Below are 12,527 nucleotides of genomic sequence, written 5' to 3' on the forward strand. Positions count from 1 at the left end.
CTAATTTCAAATAATCTTTCTTCAAATTCACAATTTCTAATTTTTTTGCATGATTGCCTCAGCTATTCAAACTATTGAGTTTTTCAATTCTGCCATTGTATCCTTCAGCACTAGGATTTCTGTTTGGTTCTTTTCCACGGTTTCTATATTTTATCAAACTTCTCATTTCATTCATGCATTGTTCTCCTTATTTCTTTTAGTTGTCTATCTCTATTTGTTGAATTTCTTTGAGCTTCTTGAAGATGAGCATTTTGAATCCTTTTTCCAGTAATTTGTACATCTCTTTTTTGGTGGGGTTGGTTAGTAAAGCCTTAGTTATTTTGATGGTGTCATGTTTGCTTCATTCTTTGTTATTCATGTAGGCTTGCATTTCTGTCTGCATTTGAAGGAGCTAACTCCTCTTTCACTCTTTATAGAATAGATTTGACAAACTAAAATTTTCTCCTAATAGGTCTGCAGGTTGATGAGATTACCTCTGGGCTCATGATTGAGTGGCATTGGATGCAGGTCTTGTGCCTGATACTGGGTCTACAGTGGAAACTGCAGTTGGCAGTGTTGTTACCAGAAGCTGTAGTTGGTGTGGGTCCCATTTGGTTTCTGGGCAGACTGAACTGTCTCCAGATCTTTGGGTCTGGATCTGGGATGATGAAGGTCTGCTTCAGGATTCACAGATTGCAGGTCTTTTTCCACGTGCAATGATGGATATGGCTTCCGCTGGGTCACTGGCAGGACTCCTGTTGGATAACTAAATGAGTACCTGTCCTAGCCATACTGTACAAATTGGTGGCTGAGATGGGCTTAAACTGAGACATAAGATTGTTTCAGGATATACAACCAAGGCTGAGATCTTTAGCCCCCACGAATAGGTATGTGTACAGTGGTTTCCTGGATGAGCAAGCCTGCTTTCAGACTGCAGTTTAAAAAGGTGGGGGCCAATTTATAGGGCCATTTAAAGATCCACAATGGGACAGAGGTGAGGGATTCAGCCTGAATGGGCACTGTGGGACATGCCTTCTTGTGCCCAAGCAGGCCAAGCTTCTCTCAGTCTGAAGACAAAAGGGGTCTGGACCTAAATCCAGTGCCATTTGAGGATCCACTGTGGAACAGAGGTTGGCAAAGCGTGTCAGGGAAACAGACAGGCATGTCTCCTGGTGGGATTCCAGCTGGGCAGAATTGCTTCAAGACCACAGCTGGGAGGGACTGAAACCAATCTTCAGGGCTATTTTTAAATCTGCTGTGGAACTGATGTTGGCAAGCCTGACCCAGTGGCAGTGGGGGGGTGAGAACCCCAATAGATCCCTATGTGGTCAGGATTGCTCATAGACTGCATCTGAGAGGGGCTAGAGCTGAGATTTGGGGCCCAGTTATGGTCTTCTATGGGATGAAGGCCAGCAAGACTGTCCAAGTGCATCTCTAGCAGTTCCTTGCATGGTGGAATAACTTCAGGGCTGTGACAGAAGGGCTGGTGCCTAGAAAGGTCCCTTCAGGATCTGTTATGGGATGGAAGTTGTCAAGCCCATTAGCACTGATGGGCTAGTCACCCTGTGCCATTGGGATTATTCCCAGGCTGCATTTAAGCAGGGCTACCATCAAGATTCAGGGCCCCTTCAGGACCTGCTGTGGGATGGAGGCTGACAGTCTAATGGCACAGATGGATGAGTCTACCAGCATGTCTTATTATGGATGGGATTACTCCCAGACTATGGCAGAGAGGGGCTAGAGCTGAGATAGGGCCCCTTCATGATCTGCTGTGGGACAGAGGCTGCAAGTCTGTCCTGGTAGTATAGATGGGTGAGTCTCTCTCTAGGTCCCTGTGTGAGAAGTACTAGGCTAGAATTACAGCTAAAGGGGGCTGGAGCCAAAAGCTGTTACAGGATAGCTTTTGGGTTCACGGACAAAACTGATGGCAAGAAGCAGATGGGTCTGTCTGTGAAGCACTAATGTGCATGATTCCTCCCAGCCCTTTGGTGGATGCTTTTGGAAGCAGGCTCAAGCACAAACGGAGCTGTAACTAAACCCTTTGGAAAATGGGGTTATTTATGGGTCTGAAGCTGGGTCCACAATTACTGGGTCTGCCACCTAGGTGCAGGTCTGTACTCTCAAAACAATAATCCTAGATCTTGGGCTCCACTCTGGTTTCACAACCTCATACCCCAATCCAAGGGCTCCCACAAAGAAATTTTTTATCATGAATGGGTGCAGAATTATTTTTTTTTTGTGGAGTAATACAAGTGCGTGACCACCTATTCTGCCATCTTATCTCATCCCCTAGATATCTGTTTTAATTGCTTCCTCTTTACCCTGTTGGTGAGGGAAGGATTTTGTACCTCAAGAGATACCTATGGAGACAGCCAAACACACAGACCCTATATTGGACAGATGAGATTGATGCATATTTATTAATCACATACACTTACAGCCCAGAGGAGGGAGATACCACACACCATGCAGGGCCACATAGGGGTTGCATTTGGGAAAAAAAGTGAACAACCATGTGTATGGGATGCAGTTTGGTAACATCAAGAGGGCAGGGTACTCGTCGATACTCAGGAGGATGTGATTGGCTTGTTTGAGTAGCTCCACAGGCTGGCATGGAACTGAAACTTACTTCTCAGTGATGAAGAAGAACTTGACCTGATCTATTTGATAAGGCAGGTTCTTTGGCTAGGAAATCTTATTTACAGGAGCAGAGTAAGGAAGAATGTTTCCTGTAAGGCTATTTATGCCCCTTTCAGATGCCCTCAGCTATCACAGAAGCCAATAATATTGGGCCTTAATCTTAGGACTCGCACCATAGTATATTAATGAATCTTAGCTATAGAAAGGGAAGGAAAGATATGAGAATAAAGCTATAATTGGTTTCTTAAAAATTGCACTCATTTTAGACAAGAGACAGGATTTCTGGTGTTTTGGGGTGGCACAATGACCTTGCCTTTGTCTGTACTTAGACAAAATTATTAAGTGACCCTACTTTGTCTCATTTTATCATGGTCTCAAAGTAGCCTGAGGTTCGTATTATTTCCAATAGGGGAATAAAATAGCATAGCTCTGAGAGCTGGGCCAACTTCCAAATCTCAGAGGCTGCTATTTATTTTCTTTTTACAGTTAAAAGGGCCTGTTGGTGCTGGGAGGCTAAATTAGATGGGTTGGTCAAGGAAAGTTTTCTGAGAGAGGGATGTCAAAGCTCAGCCTTTATCACTAATAAGGAGCCATACACATAGAGAAGAACTGAGGAGAGTAGAGACAGGAGAGGAAGGGAGACAACCTGTGGGAGAGCATTCCTGTCTGAGGGAAATGGCAAGTATGAGCAAAGAAACATTTCATCACACCCAAGAGGTGTGAGAAAAACCATTGGGACCGTGGCTCTTTGCTTCAATGCTCTCTAGGGTTGGATATGGAGGAAGTACCAGAATCTCAGAACATGGGAAGTAAACTTTGGAAAGCCTCAAAGTGATCCTGATACAGTGGTCCTCCAAGACAGATTGTCTCTTACTGCCTGTATGCTTCCCTCACAGATTTAGTTCAATTATATAGACTTTATATGAAAATCCCAATACTAATTGATACTTTAATATGACCCTGTATAACATACAACAAAATTGCTTGTCCAGGAATGTTTTACCAACATCCAGGGAGATAGATGGGGTTATTAGCTAGTGAATGTGCTGTCAGTGGCAGAAGATCAATTATCCTATATATAATTTTGTTTTTTCTCAGAAACTAGACTGTGGTGATTTTTCTAGACCATCTAACATATATTTGAGCAAGGTCTGCATTTCCATTTAATAGTGAAGCATTCCTAGGATGTGAGTTTTATCATTCCAATCATCTGTTCATATCCAGTTCATGCATTTGAACACTATTACAATAGTTGGTTTGAAGACACCATTGCTACCAACTGGGAATTTAATATGCCAACACAGGAAAATATTAACGATGATAAACAGCTCAGACAGCAGAGAATAATGGTTACAAGCATGGACTCTGAAACCAGACAGCCTAGGTTCAAATGACAACACTACCACTTTCTAGTTGTATCCCTGTTAGGTACTTTACTTAGCTTACATGCCTCAATTTTCTCACCAACAAATTGGGATAATACTAGTACCTACCTCAAAGGTTTACTGGGAAGAATAAAATATATAGTAATTTCTTAGACCTGACACAGGATAACACTATGTAAGACCTACCTTTGTAATGATGATTACAACTATGTATTGGAAAAGAAAAAAAAGGTAATTAATACAGTATTCCTATAGTTGATGAGTTAATTATGTACTAACCAGTATATATAAATGTTCACAGATCTTATTGAGGAATAATTCCTATCACTTATGGTTCTATACAGGGCCTCTCCTCTTTCTACAATGTCAATCACATAATCAGTTTTTAGCAAAATCTGAAACTATGCATTTAATTTAAAATTTTTTTTTCCTTTCTGCCTCGTATGTCTGATTCATTCAAGCCTACTGTAGATAACAGTTTTAATACATTCTGTTACTGAGCTTTTTGGACTTTGCCTAGAGAACACACTAAGAGTCTCAGATCTTTAATTGAGGCAACCGTATTTAGTACCACTGAAATAAGTGTGAAAACAGCTTGATCATGCAAAGCTTGACATGAAGAAAACACCTGCCTGGTGTTAATAAGATACATGAATTTCAGACAACAGAAAACAAAGAAAATTACCACTTTGTCTATCTTGGTAAAATACCAACAGAATTCTCATTATTTTCATGACATTCAGAAGTTTATTTGAATTTCTATGAAATGTGAACAGAAAAAAATCATATGGATTATGGGCTCCTGGTGGGTGAGGGTTTTTAAAATATTACTGGATTTTTATCCATACTATCAGATTTATTAAGACAAAGTAAAAGAAAAAATAAGGAAAAAATAAATATTTGTTTTGTTCTGGATATTCATTAGAACAAACCAGAGTGATCTGAGAATCAATTTCAAGTATCTTAATAGGCCTGGATGTATTGGACATTAGTGTAAACACACATACCCACTTCTCTTAAGTTTCAGGGTCTCAATAGAAATATGTTGAAAGTTCCTATCAATTGGCACTTTTATGCATAAGAGAAAATCTTTTACTTTCACAAACCTACTTTAGTTGTTTAAGAAAAGGAAAAATCTTAGTAATAATAATACAACAGTCATTAAAGGAATAACTTAGCGCAGATACCATCTTCTGATAATCACCCCTCAGAGCCTTGATTCTAGGCTGTGACATTATCAGTTTGCATTGGTCACCAAACAGCTTTGACATGGTATTACCTAAATCATTGCATTATTACAAGCACAACTGAAAAACTACAACTTCTTTTTTTTTTCAGTGAAGTCAGGAAATTCATCCTCCAACAGGTTGAGAGAATCACTAAGAAAAAAAAAACAGGATTATTCTTGTGTTTGTTGCCAAATTTATACAAGATTTATAAAACGCCAATATCATATGCACTGAATTTTCAGTGTTTTTTGTTTGCTTGCTTCTTTGCCTGTTTGTTTAACATATATAGAATAAATTATCTTGTTAGACTGCTTTCTATTTCTAATGGACATGTGTACACATAATTTTTTGGAAGCAAAGTTACGCCTTGTTTCCTTCCTGGTTATTTATTTTGCCTAAAAAATCTTAGTACCTACACCAAAAGGTAGTTAATATTCATGCATAGTCAGCATTTAGTTGACTGTGATAAATTGTCAAAAGAAAGGATAATTGAAATCTATTGTACTGCCAAATCTAATTCGATATTCTATGCTTAAACTTATATTGTGTCTTACAGTTGGCCATAAGTGCTAATAGACCAACTGAAGATATTTTAATTTTAATTTCTTTCATCCTTCCAAAGATTTTGATAACTTAAAACTTGTATGAATAGTACTTTACAGTTTGTAAGCATTTTGACATAAATTGTCACTTTTGATCTTCCCAATATCCTTATGGGAATGAGAGATTATAGGATTATGGAAGATTTTATTATTCTCACTTTATATATTAATAAATTGGGAAACAGTCATCATGTTCTTAAGGAAATGCAGGTAATCAGCTCTAGAAAAATTAAAAGTCTAGAATTTCAAAGTTTGTTGAATGCATTACATTGCACTGAGAAAACCCATTACCTTTTATCCACAATAACCCCTTCTGTCTCCTTGCTGCCCTGTGTCCATGTCATTCTCTCTACTGTTTCTGGAACTTTGAATGTTTTTCTTCACTTCCCTTACTCCTTTTATGCACACTGTCTTGAATGTCCCTGCTTCTCTCAAATACCTAAATCCTGCTCATCTCTCAAGGTCTAGCATAAGTTTCATCCCCTCCAGGAAGTCTTCCAGCCCCCACTGTTCTTACTTAACAAATATAGCACTTACAGGAATTTATTAAGTTCTTAAATGTTTAATTTATGTGCATCTAAATTCTCCTACCAGATTATAAGCACCTGAGAACAGAGACCAAGTCTTATACTTCTTTGAAACTCACAACATTCTAGCACTGGATATAGATATAATAAATGCTTGCTAAATATTTGGTTATTGTTTAATTACCCAATGGAGACAATGCTGAAACATATCTCATCTTCCTTATCTGCATTTCCATCCATGTGGCTTGTAATGTAGCCTGTATAATCACTTACTATGGTAGAGTTCAGTGTGGGTTTTTTCAATACGTTCATACATCAATTGACCCTAACATTAATTTCTAACTGTCAATGACGCCCAGTCATATGACCTAGGGGATCGAATTAACTACACATTCCTGATGGATTCCCTGAATAGAGTAAACATTTGGGCCATATTTCAGCATTGAGAACAGGAACAGAAGACATTATGCTGTGATTGCATTTCTATAGAATTACATTAGCATTACCCATTCTGCTAGTCATAATTTCTCAGCAGATCAGGGATATCTATCAATAGTATTTCCTGTGATATAGCACATGAAAATGCATTCCATTATTCATTAGAAGTGTTGCTGATCAAGTATATTATCCTTATAAACTTACTCTTTAAGAAAGAAATGTTTATATGAAAATAACATACTTAAGAGTCATTATGTGAAAAAAGTATGTCACTGTATGACAGTTTGACTCTTCTGAAATGTAAGTGTTCGGTTTAATCAAATAACTGCTTTTGTTCATATTTTAAGGTGAATTTGGAGAAGTCTGTAGTGGGCGTTTGAAGACACCAGGGAAAAGAGAGATCCCAGTTGCCATTAAAACTTTGAAAGGTGGCCACATGGATCGGCAAAGAAGAGATTTTCTAAGAGAAGCTAGTATCATGGGCCAGTTTGACCATCCAAACATCATTCGCCTAGAAGGGGTTGTCACCAAAAGTAAGTTACTGAGTTTCTTCATTACTTCTTTCACACACCTATCTCAGTTTTTTTTTAAGAAAAGGAAAAATCTTCATAATAATACCACAGTCATTAAAGGAATAACTTAGTTCAGATATCATCACCCCCTCAGAGACTTGATCCTAGGCTGTGACATTATCAGAGTTTGCATTGGTCACCAAACAGCTTTGACATGGTATTACCTGCAAATCATTCCTAACATAACTTAAAGTAATGAATCAAGAGTAAAGGGTTATGTGTTTTTGCTTTGTTTTGTTTTGTGTTTTGAAATGTCAATAGTAACAGAACAAACACTTTCAGTGTTTTGGGTCATTAAGGTAAAATATTTCTGTTTAGAAATAAATGTCATATACAAATATAAAATGCTTTACCTGGAGTAAAACTTATAAACAAAAATTCGGCATGGAACCTATATAAATGGCATTAGGAGTAAATTATTATAATTTATATAAAATGAAAAAAGTTTACAATTCCTCAAGTAAAAATTCTTCTTTCACAGAAATAATGGAACAAAGTTTATTCCTTTGAAAAGAAATGTTTTCAAAAATCCAAAATTAGCAATATCCTCTAAGAAATAGATTGCTATATATTCACTTTCATTTGAAAAATGATAGGGCATAAAATATGACAATATTTCTCATTACTTTATTCACTAAGAATTATTATATATAAAATCCAATACAGATTTGGCCTTTTAAAAATAACTTCAATCCTTGAAAGAGGCATTTTTCTTTCATAAAAATAACATTTATTTTAAAATCTTTTAAATAAAATTGTAACTTTATGTCATATTTGGAAGCAGGAAAGTATAAAAGCTTACTAAAGAGGTGCAATTGACTCTGTGTCTGAAACACCTAAGTCCTTCTCACAAGGCATTGTCCAACATGCTACCCAAAATGAATAGATTCCTGACAGCTATGAAAGTTTGGAAGACAGAAAAGAATGCTTCTGATGACAGATGTTGCAGTGGACTATTACTTTAGTGGCCTTAATGGGGCATTTCAGTGTTCATGTCGTTGTGTAGTTTTTTCCCATATTGATTCTGGGCTTTTCTATGTAACAAACCTTGGCCAATGGGACATTAGCAAGTGTGATGCAAGTAAAGGCATCTTACATGTTTGTACGTTGGAGCTTGTCCTCTTGCCACACTCTTTCCTGGAACGAGTCTCTATGCCTAATAAAGGCAATCCATAAGATGAGGCCACATGCAGTACTCCAAAGAAGAGAACTGAGGTGATTCAGCCAATATCCACATCTGAACTCCAAGCGGAATGTCAGCACTGAATGCAGCCTTGTGAGTGAACCATCTCTGATGTTACAACTCCACTACAACTGCTATTAGATAGCTATAGCTGTGGTTGACATCTTGTGCAGGAAAGGAACCATGCACCTCCATCCCATCAACCCATAAATCACAAAAGATGATTAAATGGTTGTTGTTTTAAGCCACTAAGTTTCAGATGGTTTGTTGCACAGCAATAGATAACCAAACAGATGGACCCCAGTTAGAATTCTGCTCCTGCCACTTAAGAATTATGCAGCTATGGGTAAATTACTTAACATCTGTATCCTTTACTTCCACATCTGTAAAATGGGACAGGAATGCTGTAAGAATTAAATTTGTCAATGTGTAATACATTTAGCACCCTTTGTGCATCATTGTAAACCACATTCAATAATATTCTTTATTGGGACTATATGTGCTAGCACTTTATACGTATACGTTACCATTTCATTCTCACAGCAACCCTAATTGATATCATTATCTACATTTTATGTATGAGAAACGAAGGCCCAGGCAGGTTAACTAACCCACATAAGGACCTTTAACCTACAGTATGTGGCATGACTAGTGTTCAAAATGAAGTCTGTCTCACTTTAAAACCCACCCCCCCCTTTTTTTTTTTTTGCTTTTGCTATATCCCTTTGAATGAGTTTTATACTTTAATTATCTTATTTGAATTGAACAACATTAAATAAATAACAATCTGAATTAAATAACATAATTCTGCCTTTCAGAATAGGAAAAAAATATTCAGGTAGAGTGATGTTAATTGCCCCTAAGATATAAAATTTGGAAAGAGCCAGCTATGCCATAACACCTGGTAAAGATTATGACCTAAAAGAGAGAAACAGAGAGACAGAAGAAATAGATGTTAATTATTTCTTTCATATTTTCTGACTTCCTTGTTATTAATTTAACATGAACATTTCAAGTTATTCCTTCTGTATTATATATCTCTGGCAGGCAAAAGATAATTTTCAAGTTGGGTTATGAACCTTTGCAGAGCATTTTAAATCACAATTTAAGCATGATGTTGAAGTCCTCTGATGTGTGTTTATGCATGAAACATCTGGAAATGAGCATCCAACAATAAATTAAAAGGTTTAAAAAGCGTCATATCTTTATTTTCTTACTTTAATAAATCAAATTATGCCTTTCTCCTTATATGTGAATTACACATCTATCCTTTCTCAATCACAGACACACACACACACACACGAAAAGGAAAAAAGATGTATATCCCTGTGAAATAGTGGGAATCATTTATCCTACATCAACTAAATATGTTTAATAAGGTATTATGTGGTACTTGCCTGCCAGTTTGAAATAGTTTATTTCACATAAGCATCCAACATAGTGATTGCTTTACAACTCTAAGAATCTCATCTAGAAATGAGACCAGTGACCTCTACTTAGCCACATTTATATGATTTACAAGTCAAGGTTTTTGTTCCACTTCTTAAAAAAAAGAAATAAAATAAAAATCTCATATCTGTTATAGGAAAACGGATTGAGAAAGGATAGATTCAGTATACTGTTGAGTGACAATCACCATTGTAGCATTAACTTGTTAGAGTGAGCCCCGTATAGGGTGGTGTGGAGCTACCAAGGTGGGTTGTAGAGATGGAGAAGGGAATAATCCTCGTAAAGATAAATGGGCAGGTTTATATTGTTATCATCTTGACTCAAGTGCTATGGGACTGTTAGAAGAAAGCCAATAAATAAATGAGTGCCTCATTCCCATAAATTCATAGTAATTATTCCAAGATTACCCTTAAGTAGCTAAGAGATAGCTAGCAATTAATGCTCCCAAAGGACTACCCATTGCATAAAAGATAATACTGATCAAGATAAAGATGCAGTATAGGCTTATAAGGGCATGTTTGTAGAGTATCCTGGGATTCTGAGAAATAAATTCATAGACTCTCAGTTGAAAGTAATTCAAAATCTAGATCAAAATCTTCATCAGATTCTTTTACAAATTCTTAATATGCATTTTTTTTTATCTCATATAGGATTTATCTCTGAAAGACAAGTGTTATAAAGTTCTTGGGAACACTTTGGCTCTCTTTCATATTTGGGCATTATTTTAAACTTAAAAGTTAAATGATTAAAAGCTGTATTATCCAAAAAACTGTGTTTGATAAGAGTTGAACCTATTTGTTTGATATGCATCACAATTTCATTAACCTATTAAGATACAAGTGATATAAAAAGAGATTAATTGACCCATAACCATATGCTTAGTACATACTTTTTCTCCAAGAAGCAAATAGAAGCCATAAGTTAGAGGACAGACTTGTAGCCATTAATAGCACAGATAATAGCAATTTGTAACAGATAACATATACACCGGTGTCATTAACTATATAACCAACAGAGAAAGAGCTACGGTTCTACAAAAAAGCAAGAACTATGGTTTAATGATGAAGAAATACTGTGCAGTAACCACACTTCAGAATACTGGGCTCTGCAGTTTGAATTTATGATGATGGAAGAACCAAAAAGAGAAAAATGAAGTGCCTACCTCCCAGCTTAGACAGCAACAACTAAATTTAGATATGCCAACTGTATCTAAAATAAATCCTAAATCCAGTAAAGAGCAATAGAAACCAATCAGGGTAGCAAACAAATTCCCAAACATAATTTCATTTCATAAAAATATTCCCTAAATATTCCATGAGACAGTATTGAAGTTATAACAGAAAGTGCTGCGCTTGCTCAAAACCCCCTTTAATACTCAAGAATATTGTGGGTTCCTTCTGGAGAGGCAGAGTGGGTCCACATGGGATCTGGGTAAGAGAGTAGATTCAAGCCAGCCAAATACATTTTAGTACTTGCACAAAAACTGCTTCTCTGGTTCCAGAATTTTGTTCTGCTTGTTAAGTAATAGGCATTCCCCAAAATTTCTGCTACTGTATTACTGTATTAGCTATGACATCTGCTGCTCTACCTGGTTATATTTGGGACAGTCCCATAACCACTTTGGGCCTTAATTTTCACCACCACACACAAAAAAACGAAAAGTGTAAGTAAATTAGACTAGAAAACATTAAAGGTCACATTTACCTTTAATATTTTGTGATTCCATTTTGTTTTTAAAAGAAGAGTCATGAGATGTTGGTGAGGTTTAAAATTTGTGCCAGTGATAACTTACCACTCCACCTCCAACTTTATTATAACTTCAGGTGCATATTGATGACCCAATAAGAAAATAGAAAAGTTCAGGAAGAAATAAGCAAAGAAAAAAACAGTGCCTTTGATAAAGTTTTCAACTTATAATTTGTAAAGTAGAAAAGTTATAGGTAAAATTTTTCTGTAAGTAAAATCAAGGTTGGGATATGTATAATATACATTGTATGGGGTAAAATATTCTGTATGTCTGATTTTACTGATATACATTAGATTTTTTTTACCCCTGAGGTTCAGCTCCTAGTTAAGGTAGGTTAAGAGTCTATTGGTTTTTGTTCTTCCCCCAAACCCAAGAAATATTTAGTGAGTTTGACCAGGTATTAGGCCCTATTGCTGATTAAAACCTAGTGATAGAGAAAAGAAGGCTCAGTGCTCTTGAGAAGCCCATTTGTTGGTGCCAGTCCACTGGGAGCAACAAATAAGTGTGTCATTATTTCCCAATATGGTGTGGTGTGTGCTGTTTTCGTTATAATTATTCAATAATTTTTAAATTTATTCATTCAGCAAATATTTATTTAGTGTCCATTTTTCTAGTCAACTTTTGTTTGTTTGTTTGAGACGGAGTTTCACTCTGTCACCCAGGCTGGAGTGCAGTGGCACGATCTTGACTCACTGCAACCTCCACCTCCCAGGTTCAAGTGATTATCCTCCCTCAACCTCCCAAGTAGCTGGGATCACAGGTGTACGCCACCAAGT

The 12,527-nt window shown here is 36.7% G+C and overlaps 1 protein-coding gene across 16 annotated transcripts in view; it reads left to right on the top strand.

Moving 5' to 3' along the window:
* The window catches only part of EPHA6 (EPH receptor A6), a 946,939-nt gene that overhangs the window by 710,617 nt on the left and 223,795 nt on the right, over positions 1 to 12,527 (top strand). For all 16 annotated transcript variants that reach the window (XR_001740110.2, XM_017006211.2, XM_006713592.4 and 13 more), the window contains one exon: positions 7,148 to 7,333. Coding sequence is in view for 15 of the 16 variants with exons in the window: in XM_017006211.2 (XP_016861700.1) it covers positions 7,148 to 7,333 (186 nt within the window). In the remaining variant the exon portion in view is untranslated. The remainder of the gene's footprint in view (positions 1 to 7,147; positions 7,334 to 12,527) is intronic.

Source organism: Homo sapiens, chromosome 3 (genome assembly GCF_000001405.40).
Source record: "Homo sapiens chromosome 3, GRCh38.p14 Primary Assembly".
NCBI lineage: Eukaryota > Metazoa > Chordata > Mammalia > Primates > Hominidae > Homo > Homo sapiens.